This window comes from Homo sapiens, chromosome 13 (genome assembly GCF_000001405.40).
Source record: "Homo sapiens chromosome 13, GRCh38.p14 Primary Assembly".
NCBI lineage: Eukaryota > Metazoa > Chordata > Mammalia > Primates > Hominidae > Homo > Homo sapiens.
Window position 1 is genome coordinate 51,769,482 of NC_000013.11, and position 23,278 is coordinate 51,792,759.

General features: G+C 45.6%; 1 protein-coding gene across 42 annotated transcripts in view, besides 2 other annotated features; it reads right to left on the minus strand.

The window, feature by feature from the left end:
- Positions 1-23,278, minus strand: part of DHRS12 (dehydrogenase/reductase 12) — a 49,310-nt gene that overhangs the window by 14,628 nt on the left and 11,404 nt on the right. For 6 of the 42 annotated variants that reach the window (XM_047430638.1, XM_047430632.1, NM_001377533.1 and 3 more), the window contains 5 exons: positions 21,684-21,776; positions 20,530-20,611; positions 7,579-7,640; positions 4,449-4,553; positions 2,340-2,430 (listed from right to left, as the gene is read on the minus strand). In XM_047430638.1, the coding sequence (XP_047286594.1) occupies positions 2,340-2,430; positions 4,449-4,553; positions 7,579-7,640; positions 20,530-20,611; positions 21,684-21,776 (433 nt within the window). Of the gene's footprint in view, positions 1-1,295; positions 2,015-2,339; positions 2,431-3,285; positions 3,553-4,439; positions 4,554-6,975; positions 7,073-7,578; positions 7,961-19,870; positions 20,293-20,529; positions 20,612-21,683; positions 21,777-23,278 lie in introns of those variants that run through there. The other 36 variants (XM_047430642.1, XM_047430637.1, NM_001377933.1 and 33 more) reach the window with 23 other exon arrangements.
- Positions 1,935-2,104: an enhancer, noted in NCBI's record as "experimental_32930 CRE fragment used in MPRA reporter constructs". NCBI's record gives its function as "activates a minimal promoter by MPRAs in K562 erythroleukemia cells, with activity observed for both the introgressed and non-introgressed 13:52345637 variant alleles {active_cell/tissue: K562}" and the evidence as "EXISTENCE:reporter gene assay evidence [ECO:0000049][PMID:34662402]".
- Positions 12,017-12,066: a silencer, noted in NCBI's record as "silent region_5376". NCBI's record gives its function as "represses an Ori minimal core promoter by ATAC-STARR-seq in GM12878 lymphoblastoid cells {active_cell/tissue: GM12878}" and the evidence as "EXISTENCE:reporter gene assay evidence [ECO:0000049][PMID:35858748]".

The following is a 23,278-nucleotide window of genomic DNA, read 5'->3' on the forward strand; positions in this document are numbered from 1 at the left end:
TGTCACCTGATGGAAAGTGGTGCTCACCAGAGGCCTGATTGAGTCCCCATGTCCCCGGGGCACCAGCACCCAGCCCAGCCCTGAGAGCAGAGTCGCCCGCAGAGCCCTCCCTTTCCATCCTAAGAGAGGATTCTAATGAGCTGTGGGGCTCACAGTGAGGCTGGGCCCAGCAAACCACTTAGTCTCCTGGGTTCAGGAGCCCTCTCAAACCATCTAGGCTCAGAGGATCCTGGCTGTTGGTTCCCTGGACTGTTTTAGTGTTTTCCTCTTTTAGGGAGGAGTAGATAAGAGGAAAGAATTCTTCACTTCCTCTGCCAAGCCCCTCGAGGTGTCCCACCCTCTGCATCCCAGGGCTACAGGGAGGTGTTTGCCTGGAGTAGCCTCCCGGGCCTGGCCTGTGCCACAGCGTCGGGCACTCTACCTGCCCACGCCTTCGAGGACCCAGCCACACGCTCTGGCTCCAGTCCACACCCCATTTTCCCACAGACCTCAGGGAACACAGTGTCTCCACAGTGAGCACATTGGGAAACAAAATAGTTCTCTCTCGAAGCCAAGGAAAGAAAATAAACCAGAGAAAACAACAATTAAGAGCCTTACTGAGATCATGGAATTTTAGAGCTAGAAAGGATCACCTAAGCAAAAGCCCTCCTTTTTTAAATTAAAAATAAACATCTTTTTTTCTTTTCACAGAAGCAATACTTGTTTACTGTAGAAAAATCAGGATAAACTGATAGGCAAAAAGAAAAAATGTGAAAACCTTGTGATGTGTCACTCCGCGGTGACACATGTCCGCATGCTCAGCCCTCCCAGGCCCCTGTGGCCACAGACAGGTTGTGTGCACCTGAGAGCTGCTCTGTAACCTCTGAACAACACATGGTAAACTGCACCTTGACCCAGATGATAGAGCCCGCTGGTGGGCTTGCCAAGCAGATTTTAAACATCTGAGCTGATGCTGGGATTGTCAGAATGGTGTCCTTGGAGGGTAAGAGGCTGGGGGCCCCCCATGGCCTCCTAGAATTCACCCTGGACAGGCAGAACCAAGCATGTCTCCCATTAGGCCGTGAGAAGAATCGAGAAGCCATGCTCTCTGAGCACTCCCAGGCTGAGTCTCCCCTAGTATACTTTGCTGAGAACATCCTTTCTGTATTTAAGACAGGAGACTCAGATCTGTACAGGTGAGGACTAATTTCTGCCAAATCTCCAAGCTGGTCTCCATGAGATGCCACAAAGCACCAACACACACCTCTTTCTATAGGGGTGTGGTAGTTACAAAAATAAGATCATGAGGCATGTACTATTCAGGAACTTGGTATCTTCATTTAATGATATAGTGCACACAGGGTTTTTCCATAGGCATGATTGGCAGCAGAGTCTTCAGCCCTGAACAGATTTTGCACAGGTGTTCTATAATTTATTAACTTCATCTCCTACCACCAGCACTGTGATAAGCAACCTTGTTTTCCCTATCTTTATTTCTTAGGATGAATTCCAAGGCTTCTGATAAATAGTGATTTTCAGAAAGGCCATGCCAGCAGTGTGTGAGAGCCTGATTCCCAAAACCCCATGGCCAGGCCCGGCTGGGAGGTCTTAGCCTCTCTGGGCCTCAGTTCCCTCATCTGTAAATGGGTGTGATAATAGACAGTAGTGGCCACTCCACAGAGGCTTGAGGACAAATGCGTTAATCCGCAGACAGCGCTGAGACCAGTTCTTGGCGCCGCGGGTGCACCCTGGGGTGTGTGCTGTGGCTGCTGCTGCTTTCAGTTCCCTTGTTTGTAGAGGAGGAAAGAGCTGCAGAGAGCCCAGGTGAGCTGCCTGAGGTCATGGAGTTGGTGAGGCCAATCCGGAAGAGAATTCTGCTCCCCTCCACCGCTGCTCCAACACGCTTCCAGATCATTCGAGCTGTGTCCTTGTGGCTGGCATTTACCTTCATGCATCATTATTTCCAAAAACCTGGGGAGTGGTGAGGCAGTCTGGGCCTCTCCCACTACCTTCCTCAGCTCCTGCTCATTCCTGTCTGACGTGGAAATGACAATGGTCACCGGCTCCCTCTCTCACCAGGATATGCTGTAGTTAGCAGGGCGCCCCAGGCGCACCTGCTCCCGTTCCCACCATCTCCTTCCCTGACTTGCACAGGGCAAGCTGGAAGCAAAAGCTCTGTGTCTGTATGAGGCTTCCCCCAGCTGCAGTCCCAACGCGCCCCTGCCTAAATGGAAATGAAGCTACTCCTCAGTCCTCATTACGCTGGTTTTAGGTCATTCCTGGGGAGAGTCAATCCTGCGGCTGCTCAGGTATTTTTAGATGAAACGTAAGTGGCTCAGCAATTAAAGGCTATGACATACCTGGGGTGTCGGCCCAGCCAGGATGCATGGAAGAAAAATGGATGGCCGGGTGCCCTTGGGCCCACCGCTCCGTCAGAACCACTTGCTGCCTCTGGACAGGAAGGAGCGAGGGGGTGAACAGGAGAGAGGAGGCGCCATTAGGTGCAAGGGCAGGGGATAAGCCCTGCCCAGCCTGGCTTATCTTACACTGGACTCTGCAGTATGTACGGCCACTTGATGTCACCCTCCTCCAAAATCAGTCTTTACTCAGCAGCCCTGAGTAGGACCTAGCAGGTCCTACCCACTCCAAAGGAGGCCAGAACAAGCAATGAGCTAACGCAGCAAAACACTGAGAGAGAAGGAATAGCAGGCCCACCCCCCATGAAATTACACCCCTCAGTGCCCAGGTGTTCCTCGTCCACAAGTCGCCTGGGTGACTCTATTCTTTGCTGCTCACTGAGGGCAGGGGTGGTAACTGTCCTGTTCACTGCTGTACTTCAGGCCCCCAGCACAGACCGGCATACGGTGTGTGTTCAGCTAATATGGGAATTAAGGCCGGTGGCTCAAGTCTGTAATCCCAACACTTTGGGAGGCGGGACGATCACCTGAGGTCAGGAGTTCAAGACCAGCCTGGCCAACGTGGTGAAACCCAGTCTCTACTAAAAATGCAAAAATTAGCTGGGTGTAGTGGTGGGCAAATCAAAATGATTTGGATTTTGGAGCTGTAATCCCAGCTACTCAGGAGGCTGAGGTAGGAGAATTGCTTAAACCAAGGAGATGGAGGTTGCAGTATATATGAATTAACTCCTTCCTTAGGCAGAGTGTAGCAAATGTACTAGACACAGAGAATACATCAGTTATAGACAATAAAAATCCTTAAATCCTCCCCTTTCCCAGCTGCAGTCACACTATTGCCCCATCCCAGGGTAGTTTGATCATGCTTGGCAAAGAACTCCATCTCTGGGCCTCATTTACAAGTGGATGGTTTATTCCCATGTCCTCTGGGAAAACTGTAAAGAAGTGCAGGTCTTTCAAATGTCAGGATTTGGAGTCATGAGATGTAATTCACCAGGATTTGGTCTGGGGTCAAGGAGCAAAACTGGGGCACACCCAGGGCATATAAACAGAAGAAGTGGAGGTGCAGAGAGTCTCAGACAGGGCCACCTTCGGAAGGCACACAGCAGCGACAAGGAAGGCGGAGGGTGCTGGCAGCCTTACAGACAATGTGGGCGCCCTAGCGGGTGAATTTAAGGGCAAGAACTGTAAATATGGAAGTTATATATATCCGGCTTTTAAATATAGCTGTAATAAGCAGAGATACAGCAGTACAGGTTGAGCATCCTTCATCTGAAATGCTGAGGCCCAGAAGTGTTTCAAGTTTCAGATTTTTTCAAATTTTGGAATATCTGCATATACATAACGAGATATCTTGGGGATAGAACTCAAATCTAAACACAAAATTCATTTATGTGTCATATACGCCTTTACAAATAGCCTGAAGGGGATTTTATACAATATTTTTAAAATAATGTTGTGCATGAAACAAAATGTGTGTTCATGAAACCATCAGAAAGCAAAGGTGTGGGATTTCCCACTTGTGACATCGTCAGCACTCAAGATGATTTGGATTTTGGAGCATTTTGGATTTGGGATTTTCAGATGAAGGATGCTCCATCTGTAGAAATCTACTTTCTGTTCAGAGTAGTCAAGGGTTCTGGACTGTGGCCCCTTCCCTCCCTCAGAATTCAATGTGCCGCCCCTCCCAGTGAGCCTCCGGGAAGCCAAGAGCCGCCCAAAGGAGAGAGGAGGGACCGCTCGCCGTCCTCATTCCCTCTGAGCAGCACAGGGCAATGGATCCCCCTGCTAGGATCCTGTTCTGTGTGGGTCTGAGAAACACCGAGAGGAGACGCAGTGGCTTTGTGGCTCCTCCCAGGATGCTGCTGAAAGCCCACATGGGTCTGAGCAGAGCTGTGCTCCCCAAAGGGGAGCCCTCTTGGTGAGGGAACATTTTCAGGTGCTGCATGAACTACTAAGGTCCGATTAATGTGCATCCCAGAGTAAGCTTTCCTTGGAAAAGGGCCCTCGCAGCCCGTGGGTAAAATGCAGTCTCAGGAAACCCACCTCACTGACCTTGTTTTGTGCATAGACCATAGTTCCATCAAATGGTGTTCTTTCGGACTGGAGATCATTGGTGTTCAGTTTCTGAACCAACATTCCTCCTGAGGAGACGGTTATCTGCAATAAAGGTAACAGAGATTTACAAACTAAAGCCTGTGACCCCTTCCACTCTTCACCCCCTGTAGAGCAGTGCTTCTTGCTGTTGTGACCAATGACCACAAAATTAGTGGCTTGAAGCAACACATTGTATTCTCCTACAGTATTCTCCTACAGTACATGTATTCTCCTACATGTATTCTCCTACAGTACATGTATTCTCCTACAGTATTCTCCTACATGTATTCTCCTACAGTATTCTCCTACAGTATTCTCCTACATGTATTCTCCTACAGTATTCTCCTACATGTATTCTCCTACAGTATTCTCCTACATGTATTCTCCTACAGTATTCTCCTACATGTATTCTACAGTATTCTCCTACATGTATTCTACAGTATTCTCCTACAGTATTCTCCTACATGTATTCTCCTACAGTACATGTATTCTCCTACAGTATTCTCCTACAGTATTCTCCTACATGTATTCTCCTACAGTATTCTCCTACAGTATTCTCCTACATGTATTCTACAGTATTCTCCTACATGTATTCTCCTACATGTATTCTCCTACAGTATTCTCCTACAGTATTCTCCTACATGTATTCTACAGTATTCTCCTACAGTATTCTCCTACATGTATTCTACAGTATTCTCCTACATGTATTCTACAGTATTCTCCTACAGTATTCTACTACATGTATTCTCCTACAGTACATGTATTCTCCTACAGTATTCTCCTACAGTATTCTCCTACATGTATTCTCCTACAGTATTCTCCTACAGTATTCTCCTACATGTATTCTACAGTATTCTCCTACATGTATTCTCCTACATGTATTCTCCTACAGTATTCTCCTACAGTATTCTCCTACATGTATTCTACAGTATTCTCCTACAGTATTCTCCTACATGTATTCTACAGTATTCTCCTACATGTATTCTACAGTATTCTCCTACAGTATTCTCCTACATGTATTCTCCTACAGTACATGTATTCTCCTACAGTATTCTCCTACAGTATTCTCCTACATGTATTCTCCTACAGTATTCTCCTACAGTATTCTCCTACATGTATTCTACAGTATTCTCCTACATGTATTCTCCTACATGTATTCTCCTACAGTATTCTCCTACAGTATTCTCCTACATGTATTCTACAGTATTCTCCTACAGTATTCTCCTACATGTATTCTACAGTATTCTCCTACATGTATTCTACAGTATTCTCCTACAGTATTCTACTACATGTATTCTCCTACAGTACATGTATTCTCCTACAGTATTCTCCTACAGTATTCTCCTACATGTATTCTCCTACAGTATTCTCCTACAGTATTCTCCTACATGTATTCTACAGTATTCTCCTACATGTATTCTCCTACATGTATTCTCCTACAGTATTCTCCTACAGTATTCTCCTACATGTATTCTACAGTATTCTCCTACAGTATTCTCCTACATGTATTCTACAGTATTCTCCTACATGTATTCTACAGTATTCTCCTACAGTATTCTCCTACATGTATTCTCCTACAGTACATGTATTCTCCTACAGTATTCTCCTACAGTATTCTCCTACATGTATTCTCCTACAGTATTCTCCTACAGTATTCTCCTACATGTATTCTACAGTATTCTCCTACATGTATTCTCCTACATGTATTCTCCTACAGTATTCTCCTACAGTATTCTCCTACATGTATTCTACAGTATTCTCCTACAGTATTCTCCTACATGTATTCTACAGTATTCTCCTACATGTATTCTACAGTATTCTCCTACAGTATTCTCCTACATGTATTCTCCTACAGTACATGTATTCTCCTACAGTATTCTCCTACAGTATTCTCCTACAGTATTCTCCTACATGTATTCTACAGTATTCTCCTACATGTATTCTACAGTATTCTCCTACATGTACTCTACAGTATTCTCCTACATGTATTCTACAGTATTCTCCTACAGTATTCTCCTACATGTATTCTACAGTATTCTCCTACATGTATTCTCCTACATGTATTCTACAGTATTCTCCTACATGTATTCTACAGTATTCTCCTACATGTATTCTCCTACATGTATTCTACAGTATTCTCCTACATGTATTCTACAGTATTCTCCTACATGTATTCTCCTACATGTATTCTACAGTATTCTCCTACATGTACTCTACAGTATTCTCCTACATGTATTCTCCTATGGTTCTGGAGCCCAGAAGTCTGAGGTGGGGCTCATGGGCTAAAATCCAAGTGTCAGCGGAGCTGCGTCCCCTCTGCCGGTCTCAGAGGAGACTCCATTCCTTGCCTTCAACTTCTAGAGGCTGGCAGCACTCCTTGGCTCACAGCCACGTCTCCACCCTCTGCTTCCATAGTCACTTCTCCTCTGACTCGCACCCTCCTCCTTCCCTCCCATGAGGACCCTTGGGACTCCACCAAGCCCACCTGGATACTCCAGGACACGCTTCTCATCCCAAGGCCTTGAACTGAACTGCAGCTGCCAAGTCCCTTCTGCTATATAAAGGTGACATAGTCACAGGTTCTAGGATAAGGATATGAACTTTCGGGTCGGGGGTGGCACAGATCATTATTCTGCCCACCACAGCAGAGAGAAGGCAGCCTACATTAACTGTCTTCTTCCTGCTTTCTCCAATTTATATTTCAACCCGCTGGGGGAGAACAGGCTCCAGTAGCCAGTCCCTTCCCCTCTGAGCAGGACAGTCCCCAGGAAGAGCAGCACCACCCTGACCTGAGCACCCCACAAGCCGCCCCTGCCCTTCGGAGGCCTCCCTCCCCAGTGCTTTGCCGACACCCACGTGACAGCCGGAGTGGGGGTCGGGGGTTGGGGGGGTTCAGAGAGGGCTGGGGTCTGAATGTGCTCTTGGCATGCCTCCACTTCCCTCTCGGCCCCCTGACAGAATTGAGGTTTTGCTGTGGATGTGGACAGAATGGCCCCCTTAGGGCAGTCAGGCAGCAAACCTAGGCCCACTGACTTCCCATCAGGAGCAAAGTCCATTATCCTCAAAACATCCCATAAGGTCAACTCACCACTCGGGGGTCGTGTTCTTTCTCCAGCACAGGGATCAGGCCGGTCGTGAGAATGTACACACCTGAGGCAGCACACAGCATCCCATGAGGGGGCTGCAGGAAGCCCCAACTCAAGGGGTCCTGCAGGACTGATGTGGGGACTGTCTGCCCGCACCCGCCCCCCACAAGAGGGCAAGTGGCCACCTGAGGGGCAGTCCCTCCTTCCGAGGATCCTTCAAGCCAAATGTTCCTTTTCCCAGGACTGGAAGAAAGATGCCTTAGAGCCTCATGTACCGACAGGAAAAGATGTCCACACTACAGGAATACAGGAAGGGAAAAAGAAAACTGCCAAACCGTAGATGGGTCCACTTTGCAGAAGAAAAAATGCATCTATATGTCCAGTCTGTGCACAGAAAAATGTGAAGATGAAATTTAGCAATACCGCTAAATTAGGTCTCAAGGGTGGAATTCAGTAAAATTTTTCCTTCCTTTGCTATACATTTCTGCACTGTTTGGATTTGAGTATTTTTACAATGAGCATATAACTTTATGGTTATTTCTTCAATCAAGAAATATACATATAACATTTCTAATGGAATGAGAAAAACACTGAAGTGTATGTGACATGGAAAGACATTCCTAATATATATGGAATGAGAAATTACAAAACATTGGGAACACCACCATTCCATTTTGGTGAGGAAAGATGTGTCAAGATGAAGAGAAAATGTCTGCAAGGATGAGAGTGATGCCCTGAAAGGTTAAAAATGCTCATCTCTGAATGGTGGGATTATTGTTTCTATATTCTTCTTATACATGCCTGTATTTTTTTAAACAATGAATGTTTATTACTCTGTGTTTACAAAAAAGGGAGAGTTTAAAGCCCCTTACCCCAAAGTGAGGCAGGAATCAAGTCAGGGGCTTAAAGTGGCGAGCCCTGGGCTCTTTCCTGGGCTATGCCATGGAGTCTCTGTGTGACCAGCTCTCACCACAGCTTCCTGCACCGCCCGCCATGTGGCCTGCATCCAGCTCGCAGGAGCTGCCTGGCATCGTGGGAAGGGTCCTGGAGGTGGATCCAGGGGCCTCCCTCTGAACCCTGGCTCTGGCACTTACCAGCGGTGTGACCGTAGGCAAGTGCGGTGGCATTTTCAGGAGATAATAGCTGGCCAGCCCACCTCACAGGATCAGAGGAGTTTGTGGTGAAATAAAAATGTGTGCATGTCCTGTGAGGACTGGAAAGTTCTCTGGGCAGGCCGCCTTTGTCCTGCTCTTGCTGTATTATCATTTGTGATTCTGAGTTGTGACTTTCATCCCAGACAGCATTCTTAGTTGTTCACAGCCCAATTTATTTGTAGGAGCCTGCCTTGTTCGTATTTGTGGATTTGTAAAGTCTCCTGAACCCTGGGTCGCTAACAGCTGTTAACCTCCAGCCAGTGGTCTTGGACTTTCTTTGTATTCACCGCCGGTGGCTTTCTCTGTGATTTATGACAAGTAGAAAGGACTTCTGCCAAAAGCGATCTGCCGCATCAGCTTGCCCTGACGGATTGTCATAAATGGCTCTTGTGAGGAAGGGAAATGAAAGCCAGCGGCTGGGCTGGCTCTGCTGCCTGCGAAGGGCACCTCCTCTCTCCTCTCAGGATGGCGAGAGCTGGGGTGAGCCCCTTTGCACCTATCCTCCCTACCTGGGAGGTGCTCAGCTCTCATTCCCAGTCACCTGCAGGAGGGCTGGCTGGGTCGCTTGTCCCTGCCAAGTACTCTCTCCTCTAGGGGACTGCCAAGTAGCAGGTGCTTTTAAAAAAACTCCTAGAGAAACACAATAATAATCTGCTAAAATAATACACAATATATAAGTATGTATGTGCATACATATGTGTGTACACATATATGTGGGTGTCTGTGTATATATATATATAAACTCTTATTGAAAGAATTAGAGTTATAGAATCCCAGAGAGGTTCAGTGACTTATCCAAAGTCCCAGCAAGTTCATACAATGTGGAAAACAGATGGCGCATCTCCCTTTTCTTGAGTCACGTAGCCATGCTGCATGCCAACCCATGCCAAGGAGAAGGAAGGTACCCATTCTGCAAGTCATTCTTTCCTCAGTGAACATGGCGCCAGTTGCTCCTTGCCCAGCTCACACAGATCCAAACAGGCCTGTCATTAACACGTGAGCCAACATCACTCTCCTGCCCCCAAAGTCCTTCAACACTCTGGCCCCCATTGAATTAAGCAAAAAACTCCTCAGCCTGGTGCAGTAGACTTCTTTGGGAAACATGCCCCATTCCCTCTTTTTAGGGGTAGGCCCCAAACACATCCTGTTTATAACAACAACAAACAAAGCAAACAGTCTTTGCCCTGGGCCAGGTGCTGCATTTGTCCCATGTGCCCAGTCCACGGGCAGATGGACTGGGCCAGGGGGGTGACACCTGGTCCAAGCTGTCCCACCCAAACTCTCCCTAGAAGAGTGTGAAAATGGAATGCTGAATGGAGGACAGGTGACTCAGTGGCAGCCATATGTGACCCAGATGCAAGGAAAAGCAGAGACGGAGAGTGAACGAAGCAGTTGTGATGAGAGTCCATGGACAACAGTCCCAGAGAAGCAGAAGGTCACCTTAGCTGCTGACAGGTTCTCCTGTCCTGTCCCTGGCCCTCCCAAAGCCCAGCTGTGTCTCTGCCATTGAGTTCTGTGAGGGCTGCCCTTGTAGCCCACTAATAAATTATTTTTTTCTTTAGTCTTCCTGTGTGGGTTCTTGTTACTTCTGACCACACAAAACCTAAGACACTTGGCTTGTCTCAGTTAGGAAGTCCACCAGTTCTCCCGGGATAACCAGCTACCCTTTAAAATAAGAATGTCTCCTGGGCGTGGTGGCTCACACCTGTAATCCCAGCACTTTGGGAGGCCGAGGCGGGCGGATCACTTGAGGTCAGGAGTTCAAGACCAGCCTGGCTAACGTGGCGAAACCCCATCTCTACTAAAAATACAAAAATTAGTCGGGCATGGTGGCCCACACCTGTAGTCCCAGCTACTCGGGAGGCTGAGGCAGGAGAATCGCTTGAACCCAGGAGGCGGAGGTTGCAATGAGCTGAGATTGTGCCACTGCATTCCAGCTTGGGCAAGAGAGTGAGATTCCATCTCAAAAATAAATAAATAAATAAATAAATAAATAAGAATGTCTCTGGACAGACACAGGAGGGGCATTGTTATAAATGGTTAATGGGTGCTTTTAGTCATTCATATCTTCGTGTGAACCAGGTCAACAACTTCCTTTCCTCTAAGACTTCCTATTAATATCAGGGACATTTGGGTGATTCAAGGTTTTGATGAGAGAAAAAGAGAGATATTTTAGAGTACAGAATCCCACGGGAGGGCAGGCCTGGGAGGAGGGAAGGCACCTTCAGCTACTGGAAAAGTTGCCCAAGGTTAGTCCTGCTCCCAGTAACAAGGAAAATAATTCATTATCATTATGACTCATTAGTATTTTAAATTTACACAATGCCTTTCTTCCAAGGAACTCATTATGTCGATGGCGGTTCATTACGAGAAAGAGATCTGGCAGTGGAATTTATGTTGGACATAGTCTTCTAAATATGGCAACAAGAACTTTTATTACATGGGTACATGACTTGAAGCAAATCTCTCTATCAACTAATTGAGAGGTAAAACTGTGTGGAGCACAGGTGATGCTGAAGGAGAGATGCCGCGTGTTCTTAGAGCACTGCGAAACCCATGTCTGCATCCTCCAAATACTAAATTCATAGTATTTCTGAAATTATATATCTTGAGTATGACATTTTAATAGCATTAAAGGTAATTATTTTTAATGAGAAAAATATATTGCAATTTGTAAATTTAGCATAGGAAAACTGATTGGCATTTCTATTAAGAAACCTTCAAAGCCACCTTGAATTAAAGCTACTTTGGTTACTAGCCAATGGGTTATGTGCTTCCATCCACGCTACTATCTGACGGAGAAAACCATTGTCTTGCTGTCCCTGGGAAGTTTCTGGTGTTAATTTTAAAGGAGCAGACAGCTGCACTGGTGAACACCATTTGGTACTTCTTTTGTACAGTAACAAAAACATAGTGAGCCTGGGGGGCTCACACACTAATCTCACACATTATATAAAGATGATTTCAAAGATTACATTACCTGGAGAAGACAGCAGGACAGAGTCCCAGAGGAAATGAGCTCTTAGAAGACATTCAAGGCACTGGCTTCCTATGGGGTATTCTTGGTTTGGGCTCAGAGAGTGGTTAGCGTGAGTCAGGCCTATCCCCTTTGCCCCCAACCTCAACTCATCCCCGCCACCTTATCCAGTTCCACGCACTGAACAAGTATTTATCAAGGGCCCACTGAGTGCCAGACCCAGTGCTAAGTACTCAGGATACAGACTGAGGGCGCCCTGCCCTCTGCCAGGCATTCCCAGGCATTACACATGTTACTACGTGACTAACCTACACTCACGGTCGAGGTAAGTGCTAGAGTGCTATGGGCACATGGGGGTGGGACGGCGGGGGAGGTGTCAGGCTCTGCATGAACTGTGAAGGGACATTTCAGCTAAGACCTGGAGAAGAGGAGGGAACAGGCAGGTAGAGGGCTGGGGATGGGAAGAAGGGCTGCAGGTATGGAGCACAGCCTGTGCAAAGAGGCCCTGAGGCTGGAGAGTGCAACCAAGGCAGCTGCAACCGAGTGAGCATGGTAGAGGGTAGGGCAATGTGAGGCTGCAGCCTCCAAGGGCAACGCCAGAGACACGCACCTCATATGAAACCAAGGGGTGACTTTAAGCAGAAGGAAACAGATTTGCATGCATAAGGACCACTCTGTCAGCCTTATGGAGGAAGCCTCTGTTCGGGAGGTGGGTACAGGAGGGCACCTAGGGCCCCATATTACTCCACTACATCACAGTGACTGCAGTGGCTTGGGCAGAGTGGTCGCAGTGGAGCTGAAGAGCAGGAGACAGACTGGGGACACGTTGTGCAGAGAGTCCAAAGGCACGATCACTGCTTGGATATGAGAAGTGAGGGGGTGTCAAGGACAAGCGGTGACGGAGATGATGCTGGCCACTGGGGTGGGGCCCATTACAGGAGCAGACCGGTGAGGGACTAAGGCTTCAGTTTTGGACATGCTGAGTCTGAGGTGTTTGAGATCTGGACCTGGAACTCAGAAGAGAGATCTGGGCTGGAAGGGGGCCCTTGGGAGCCAGGCACATGATGGCATTGGGGCAAGGATGAGATCCCAACAGAGAGTGTGGGAGGAGAAAGGAGGGCACAGGATTGGTCTGGGAGGGATGCCAACATTTAAAGTCCCCGCAGACACGCTGCAGCTGGCTAAGGAGGTTGAGAAGGAGCCAACCTCCGAGGGTGGAATCACAGGTGGCTTGGAGGCCATCGCGCTATGGGAGCACGGACAGCTGTGCCCAGTGCTGCCCATGGATGTGGTAGAGGTGCGCTCTCCAGAACCAGGAATATCAGGGTCATAGGTGACCTCAGCATGAGAGTGGCCAAAGGTCAGGGAGATAAGCCGACTGGAGTGAGCTGCAGGATGCCCGGGACTCGGGGACCATGAGAGGCTGGTGGAGGAAGTGCTGTGCAGGCTTTTCTCCAGGGCCTAGCCAGGTGACTGATGTCACCCCCTGCTGTCACAGCCGCAGTATGGGGGTCCTGTGTGCTTCACTGAGATGTATGAAAGAACCTGCTGTACTGCAGGGAGAACCCGAGTATGGGCACTTGGGCCTCAGCTCATTAAAAGGACAAAGGTGCTTATTTGGGATTGTGTTTCTAAAACTCCTCAAATGAATGTTTGTTACCAGCACACCTTTAAAACACTCACCAAATCCCAGCCAGGTAATTAGGTAAGGTCCTGGCCCACAGGAGGACTTGGATTTGGGGCCGGTGCTCCTAGGCCAGAAGACCTAGAAGGGCAGACACCACGGAGCCTGGCGAGGACTCTGCACCACCATGGAGCTGCCGAGAAGGAAGAGCGGCCCAGAGCGGGGTGCACGGCGCGGCCCAGGAGGCTCAGTCTGGGAAGCTTTTGTGTCTCATCAAAAGCAGCTTCCATGGCTGGCAGAAAACCGAAAATCAATGGGAAAAATGATCTCTGACTTCTGAGCTTGTCCATTCTCTCTCCTTAGGACGGCTCCCCGGTACAGTTTAAACCAAGAGCCTCGCCTGGGGCCCTTCTAGTGGTCGAGGGGAAATGGGGTTCCTAGGAGCTCCAGACTCCACCAGCCTCCCCTGTGGCCTGAAATCTGCCCCCACCTCAAGCTGAGGACACAGTCTCTCCAACAGCAGCTCACTTGTTACTGAGGACGAGCACCAAGAAACAATCATAATGAATAATATGCTTCTTAGGATGAAACAGACTCACTACATGCCAGACATTGAGCTGAAAGTTACAATGCTTTCTTTTTTCTTGTTGATATAATATATATATAATGTTTTAACATAAAGTAAAATCTGTGCATGCGTGTGTGTGTGTACACAGTTCTGAACTGTGACAGATGCAGTCATGTAACTACGCATTAGACTGTGGTGTGATTCGGAAGAACTCTATCACCCCAGATGTTCCCTCACAGCCACTCACATTCCCTCTGTCGTCACACCCTCCTCCTGCCCCTAGCCACTCCCTAATCCCGCCCCTGCAGCCTCTGACCTCTTCTTAGCCCCCTAGGTTGCCTTTTCCAGAATGTCCTATAAATGGAATCACAGTCTGCACCCCTTGGGGTCTGGCTTCACTTTGGCTGGTGCATCTAAGAGTCACTCACATTGTTTTGTACATTGACATTTTGTGCCTTTTTATTGCTGAATTGCATTCCATTGAATGGGAGTGCCAGTTTATCTATTCACCATATATCTGGGCTGACTCCTGTTTGGGGCGATTATGAATAAGCTGCTATAAACATTCGTGTGCGTATTTTTGTGTGCACACAGGTTATTTCTCTTTGGTTAAATATCTTACAAGTCTTTTTTAAATCTTCACTTCTGGCCTATAAAAGTATCATCATCCCCATTTTACAGAATGGGAAAGTAAGGCGTGGGGAGGTTGAGGACATTTGTACAGAGTCAGGTAACTGGAGGAACTGGACTACAACCCTGCTCAGTGCAGCCAGTGTGACTGAGCGCCTCCTGAGAGCCAGGTGGATTCTGCCCTCAAGGATCCATGCTCTGGGCAAGAAACCCACCCATCAGCAGGTGGCTTCTGCTGAGCCACAACAGGCACACAGAGGGGTCCATGGGAGCCCAGAGGGGAGCATCTGACCAGGCTCAGGGGAAGGAATGTGTCCAGCAGAGTCACAGAGGAGCAGTATGAGTTAGCCAGGTAGGGGACATTCCAGGCAGGGGAGCAGCAGGACAAAAGCATAGAGGTAGCACTGCCAGTGCCAAGTTCCAAAATAAGAGGCTGACTGCTACAGGGTCCATATAGGAAAATAATGGGAAATACATTTGGACAGGAGGTGGGGTCTGTAACAAAGGACTTTAATTCCAGGTTAAGGAATCTGGATGTTAAAACAACATTAGCTGCCATTTCTACAGTGCTACTTCCCAGGCTCTGTGCCTTTCTGGGAGCCTTGAAGGTTTGTGAGCTGGAAGGAGATATTAGGAACAAAACGATGCATGAGGATAGCTCAGGTAAAGGTTATTGATAAGTAAGAATGCCTGGCACCAAACGCGTGCCCTGTCTAAGGAAGCATTCTGCCTTGGAAGCACTGTTCTCTGTTTTCCTCTGAGTCTCCATACCAAACTCCCTTCATGGATGAAAACAGAGTTTTACCACATGATTACTGAAATTATGTATGTGTCTAATTCCCCCACTAGGCCAGCAGTCCCTTCCATTTCTCAATCCCCATAACTGGCCACAGCATCTGGCATAAAATGGGCCCTTTATAAATGTTTATGTAACAAGCCAGGCGCAGTGGCTCATGCCTGTAATCCCAGCAATTTGGGGGGCCAAGGCAGGTGGATCACCTGAAGTCAGGAGTTCAAGACCAGCCTGACCAACATAGTGAAACCCCATCTCTACTAAAAATAAAAAAATTAGATGGATGTGGTGGCGTGTACCTGTAATCCCAGCTACTCAGGAGGCTGAGGCAGGAGAATTGCTTGAGCCCAAGAGATGGAGGTTGCAGTGAGCTGAGATTGTGCCACTACACTCCAGCCTGGGTGACAGAGCGAGACTCTGTCTCAAAAAAAACCAGAATGTTTATGGAACAAATAAGGTGCCTTTGTTCGTTAGGTATTTTGATTAATAAATAGTTAACATATTAAATTCAGGTGACCCGTTTTCAAAGAATTGGAATGTAAAAAAAAAAACAAACCCTTGTGGCAGATTATTGTTCAATATTCATTCTCTCCTCGCCACCTCTGTGGGAGAAGTACACTTCTCTGATTCTTGATTTGGAGCTCTGTGAAATGATTTGCTTTGATTAATTGGATATCTGCTGATTTCTGGATTGGTTAACTGGATATCATGTCCAGTTAATCAAAGGGGCTTGGATGCAAGCAGAGGCTTGGAATTGCTCGCACACCTGGGCCTCTGCCATTGCCCTGAGAATATACGTTGGCCAGAATATGCCTTGGTCCAAGGAGGATACAAGATATTTGGCACATACTCCATACCAAACCTGCAGCTTGGAGACACACAGCTGAGCCCAGCTGAGATCAGCCTGCTCAATAGATCTGCAGAAGAGTCAGCAAAAATGCATGCTTATCATTGTACACCCCTGAGATTTTGGAGTTGTTTCATAGCAATAGCTGATGATACAACCCTACACTAAAAAATGCCCCAACCACAATTTTGTTGTCCTTTGTTTAGGAAGTGAGTCACAGACTGGTTTTAGACTACCTCTGAGCCTCAGTTTCCTCATTTGTAAAATCTGTAAAATGGTTATGAGACTGAATGAGAGAATCCAAGAAAAGCCTTCAGTGCAGCCTGCAGCACAGGGACTGTGCTCAGTATGTGCTATTGTTATGAAAGCATCTCTGGACCTGGGGTCCCTGTGTCGAACAGCAGCTCTCACTAGTTACTGGGATGTGCCCGAGGAGGGTGCCACGTAACAGAATGTCAAGCGACAACACTCTGTCTCACGACGTACATCCTTCCAAAGTGACCTAAGGTGAACTTCCTCGCCTCCTGCCAAAGAGCTAAGGCACCACTGCCTGTTTATCACAGTCAATTAATTGGTGACGCAGCTGTCCTGGTGGAGATAGAATCAGTGTCCTCGTCTTGTGTCCTGTGGTGAGAGAGGCTAAGATGCGGGTGAGAGTTTTAATCTGCTAACGCTAGGCTGTGGCAGGCTGCCAGCAGGGCACTTAGCTCAGCCTCCCCGCCCTCCCTCTCCCATCTGTCTTCACTCCTCATGGACTCTTAATGCCACTGAATGCTAACAGGCAAAACGTATGTGACTGGAGGAGACCTGAAACAAAGGGGTGAGAACAGCCACCCAACAGAAGCTGTCTCCTGCAATCTCTTCCCCTCCATGGCTCAACTGTGCATCAACTGACCCAGGGCAGCTCGCTTTTGTCCCTCAGTAGGATATGAAAATCTCTCCAGGCCCCACCCGCCCCCGCAAAAGGCTAAGAATTATTCTTTCCAAACTATCTAATTCATACACTGTGATGTCTCAACAAAGCCGTGTGTAGGCATGGGTGCTGAAGGCATTTTGCATTTAACTATTCTACCAGCTTCAAAACCCTTAGGATCCAGTGATAAATCCTGCGAATGCTGAGGTTTACGCTCTCCTCAGAGTATCAGGAACCTACTGGTGTTTGGCTGGAGATTGCAAATGTTTCTGACAGCTCATGTGAATCTTAGAAAATAGAAAACAACCTATCCCACATTACATAATCAGGCCAGGAAAACATGTTTCATATTAGAAAGGCAGCCAGCAATTTTCCAGGACTCGGACAGGGGTCCAGGTTTTTTGTCTGGCCTGGTCCTGCTGAAGAATGACAGCACTTTAACCTCTCTGTATCTCCTTCTCTCTCAAGCAAAGACCCATGGAGCTGCCCCTCTGTGCTGGCATGCCTCTTTGTGTATTGTACTACTTCCTTCACTTGAGAGAGGATGAATAAATATCAAAGCCCGAGAATTATTACGCTTCTCAGAGAGGTTGGAATAATCAGTAAGATGTTTCTAACACAAACAGGAAATGAAAAGGAAGAGATAGCAAGGTCTTTAGAAGCAGGCTGGATCCTTACAAAGGTGCAACTTAACCAGCTAAATAATCAAATAGACAGCCCCTTTAGAGTCTATCAAGCCTGTCCACATTCCCAAGCAAGGCCAAGGTCCCCAGATTACCCTCCTTTTCATCTTCCAAAACCTTTAAGCTTCTCTGAGAGGTGCCCCCAAACCCCAGCCCAGCCTTCCCTGGCATAGCTGGTCACCCCCTCCCAGTACTTCTTAGCACTTATTTAGGATAACACGGTGATGGGGTGAGGGAGGACATGCTGGGATGGGTGGAACTGTGCACTGGTAATGAGCGTGGGTCGTGGAGGAAGTCAGACCGAGGTTCACATTCTGGCTCCTTCACTTGACCTTGGGCAAGTGAAACAATCTCTCTCAACCTCAGTTTCCTCATCTGTGATGTAGGACTACCTCCATTATAGCACTAAATTAAATATAAGTATATATATTATATTAAAAAGTATAAATATATATAAATATATAATTTATATAAAACATATATACATATAATTATATTATATATTTTTATATATAATTATATAAATTATATATAATTTATAATATATTAATATATATTTATATATAATTTATATATTATAAATTATATAAACATATAATATATAATTATATATAATATATAAATATATAATTATATATAATATATAAATATATATAAAAATATATAATTATATATAATATATACTTATATATATAATTATATATAATATACATATATATGCAACTCTCACTCGTGGCCCGGCCGCAGCGAACACTTAGCAGAATTTTGTCAGATGGTGGGTGGATGGGTGAGCAAGAGCTGGCTTCATCCTGTGAGGTCACACAAAGCCCAGTACTTGGAAGGACCCTGCACCTGGTTTAATGCTCTGTGGTCGCTGCATTGAAATCCTTAATAATTTTTTAACATGGAGCCTCGCATTTCCATTTGGTGCTGGACTCTGCAAATTATGTAACCAGTCCTGCGGAACAGTGCCTCGGGGCCAGCTGCGGCACTCTGGGAGTCTCAGCTGTCCCATCGAGTTATGAGCCAAACTCTAGCATGACCCCACATTTTGGTACTTTTGGTCATTTCAGCAAAGATAACATATTTGGAACAAAGTCAGTGATGAAAATATTTTGTACTAAACCTGTGCCATTTCATACAAGCTTCCAGGTATATTTGTTTTGAAAAATGCAACCTCATCACTGGGGAGAAGGCATCTTCCCACTCCTAGCCTTTCTTTCCTTGAGAAGAGAGTGCAATTAGGGTGAGTTCTTTCTCCCTTGGACCTTCTTCCATCTGCCAGGGAGATGGAGCACGTTTCCACAGTAAATTTAGCCTGGGCGCAGTGACTCACACCTGTAATCCCAATACTTTGGGAGGCTGAGGCAGGAGGATTGCTAGAGGCCAAGAGTTTGAGACTAGCCTGGGCAACATAGTGAGACCCCCACCTCAACAACAACAAAAAATTTTTAATTAAAAAAAATTAGTCAGGCATGGTGGTACATGCCGTAGTCCTAGCTACTTGGGAGCGTGAGGTGAAAGGATTGCTTGAGCCCAGGAGTTTGAGGCTGCAGTGAGCCATGATCACGTCACTGCACTCTAGCCAGGGCAACAGAACAAGATCCTGTCTCAAAAAAAAAAATAGTAAATTTAGTAAATTTGGGGACAATCAGCGGGGCTTGCTCAGTTCTGCTCCTCCCCTTCTCCTCTTTCTGGGGAAGAAGAGAAGGGGAGTCCCCGGTGACCAGGTAGGTGAATGCTTCTAATTCTTGGGTTCCATATGAGGAAACCCATTTGGCTCTTGCACTGAGCCATGCCCTTCAACCAGCCTTATCAGTAACAACAGTGATATGTTGGCTTCCAACTGTTATTCCATCGGCTTACTCAATTTGTTCAGTTCTTGGTTGGGAATAGGGTTGCTATATATTGGACACCCTCAATGACTCCAACAACCACCAAAACCCCTGCCATCCATCTTGTGACCTAGAACAATACTTAATTAAAACACCCCCCTCACTACAAGGAAGTAGGATAGGTCCTGGGAAGAGTGTTGGATTCACTGCATCTCAAAGTTGAAAGGCCCCTTGGATTGAGAAGGAGAAACTCCAAGGAGACTAAAAGCATAGTACATTAGCTCTCAATCTTTAGTGTGCACCAGAATCATCCAGAAGGCCTGTCAAACTGGATTTAACTCTTGGCCTCATTCCAGAGTTTCAGATTCTGTAGATCTGGGTGGGGAATCTAAGAATGTGCATGTCTATCAAGTTCCCAGGTGATGCTGAGGCTGCTGGTCTGGGAACCCCACTTGGAGAGCCACTGGCCTGATATAAAATGACTTCACTCTGCTATTACAGAGTAGCAACCAGAGCCCAGGTATCTGTGCTCTAGCCAATGCGCTTCTTGGTCCATCTTCTTGCCCACTGGTTGCACCTTCCTCAGCCCTGGCTGGAAGTTCCTTTGGTTGCAGTTTTTAGACTTGCACTCAACACTTAAGCTGAACTTGCTCTCCTCTTCAAAACAATGTCTATAAACAGCCTAGCGCTTCCTAGGAAAAAAAACACTTCAATACTAAGTATTTCTGGCACCAACACCTATTATAAGAAACATGAAAAGAGAAAGTGTTTTATGAAGAAAAATAAGTACAATTCAGAATAAACTTAAAGCAAACGTCATCAGGCCCAGGACCAAGAACCAAAAAAGTTGGTCAATTTTTTTTTACCCTTCTATGGTACATTCTATGTTTATTTTGCTAAAAACAAATAAGAAAACTTCTTGTACTTACCCAGAGTATTGGCAGCAAAGTTTTTTTCAAGTCCATCTTCTGTGAGCTCTCTTTTATTGACCATGCAACCTGCATTATTGATCTAAAATTTATAGTTCTCATTTCAAAATAAAGAAAAATAGGGCCAAAAGACCTATTTCCATCCCCACACCTCCACTACCCCACCCCCAGCTCTTTTTCAACTTTCAAGTGACAATGACAATTTGCTCAACTGATTCTTTACTCCAAACCCTTTGCAGGAAAATACCACTTGTGCAGAGGATTCAGCCACAGAACTGTGCAAAGATCGCCAAGTGAGACAGCTTGGCCAGGCAACCTAATTCATGAGAGAGTGCTCTGGAAATTCATCTAGTCCAGAACGGTCCAATAGAAATATCTAATCTTAAGATTTCTAGTAGCCACATTAAAAAGGTAGTAAGAAACTGGTAAAATTAATTTAATAATATATTTAACCAAATATATCCAAAATAGCATCATTTTAACATGTAATCAATATAGAATATTAATGAGATGGCATAGATAATTTTTTTCAGGCCTTGAAACCTGCTAATTTATACACTTACACCACATCTCAGTTTGGACTAGCTACATTTCAAATGCTTCACAGCCACACTGGACAGCACAATTCCAGACTCTGGAACAACGTTTCAGAGCACATCAGAAACTCTTCGGATAGAAAAGCAACTTAGCTCCAAGTAGAGTATCTGGGAAGAGCACACTGGGACTCTTTCTATCTGAGTCTACCCAGGCTCTCCATGGAGTTTTGTGCTAATTATGTTACTAAAAGATTTGCCTGTCTGCAGGAGGTATTCTTTTGGACAAAAAGAGCTTCTAATTTCAACACACCAATCCCCAAATCTACAGAATTGAGAAAAATTTATATACAAATCATCATTTTATAAAACATGGAACATATCTATCCTCCCACAACACCTACCCAGTGGATGGCCCCTTCCTTTCCCCACTAATCTAACCACATGCGTCTCCTCTTAAATCCAATGAGTAAACTTGATTCCATGAACAGGCCCAAGCATAAGAGAGTCTTACTAAGATTCTTCCATAAAGACAGGCAAACATACATATCCGTCCACATCCACAGACGGAAACAATGGGCCAACATGAATTTATTCTCCACTTATGTTTACAAAGCTCACCAGAACATGGAGTTTATGTTCCTGCTTGAAATTTTCAACAAATTTCCAGATTTGCTTGGGATCAGACAAGTCCACAATGTGCAGAAAAATGTTCTAAATTAGAAAGCAAAAAAAAAAAAAACCCTTTTTAAAAAGATATAAACTAGCACTTTTAATTTTAAAAAAGTATACGGTTTTTAAAAAGCAAATACTTTGAAATGATATAAAACGGAAAATACCAGTCCCACTCCTCAAAAATAAACCATTGTTCAGTTTTTTGTGAATCATCCAGAAATATTTTAAGCATATACTATATATACAATACATATATTTTAAGATATATATTTTATATATACATACACCACACAAATAGGATCAGACTATGCATTGTTCTACATCCGTGTTTTTCACTTAACAATATGTCTTTTAGTTTTTGGTGGTAAAAACAGTTTTTACTTTTTTATTTTATTGTGATAAGGATACTTAATATGAGATCTACCCTCTTAACAAAATTTCCAGCATGCTGACTAGGTACAATGTTGTACAGTGCACCTCTAGAGTTTATTCACCTTGCCTAACTGAAACTTTGTGCCCTTTGATAGTAACTCCACATTTCTCCTTTCCCCCAGCCCCTGACAACCACCATTCCACTCTTTGGTTCTATGAATTCTGAGTACTATGGCTACCTCACATAAGTGAAATCGAATAGTCTTTGTCTTTCTGTGCCTGGCTTATTGAACTTGGGTTAGCTCCTCCAGGTTCATCCATGTCGTTGCAGGATTTCTTTCCTTTTAAGGCTGAATGATATTCCAATGTGTGTAGGTATGTACCACATTTTCTTTGTCCATTCTTCTGTCGATGGACATTTAAGTTGTTTCCACATCTTGGCTATTGTGAATAATGCTGCAATGGACGTGAAGGTGCTAATGGCTCTTCAGGATCCTGATTTCAATTCCCTTGGATAAGTACCCAGAAGTGCAATTGCTGGGTCAGATGGTAGCTCTATTTTGAATTTTTTGAGGAACCTCCATACTGTTTTCCATAGAGGCTGCACCATTTTGCATTTCCACAAATGGTGTGCAAGGGTTCCAATTTCTCCATAACCTAACAAACATTTTTTGTTTTTTGTTTTTTTAGCAATAGCATCCTGAGAGGTGTGAGGTGATATTTCACTCTAGTTTTGATTTGCATTTCCCTGACGACTACTGACATTGAAAGTATTTTTTCATATATGTGTTGGCCATTTGTTTTTTGTTTGTTTTTTCTTGAGAAAAAGAGTGCCACTGCACTCTGTCGCCCAGGCTAGAGTGCAGTGGCATGATTTTGGCTCACTGCAACCTCCGCCTCCCAGGTTCAAGTGATTCTCCTGCCTCAGCCTCCCAAGTAGCTGGGACTAGAGGTGCATGCCACCATGCTCAGCTAATTTTTATATTTTTAGGAGAGACGGTGTTTCATCATGTTGGCCAGGCTGGTCTTGAACTCCTGACCTCAAGTGATCTGTCTGCCTTGGCCTCCCAAAGTTCTGGGATTACGGGCATGAGCCACCGTGCCCAGCTTGTGTTGGCCATTTGTGTATCTTCTTTGGAGAAATGTCTATTCAAGTCTTTAGACCATTT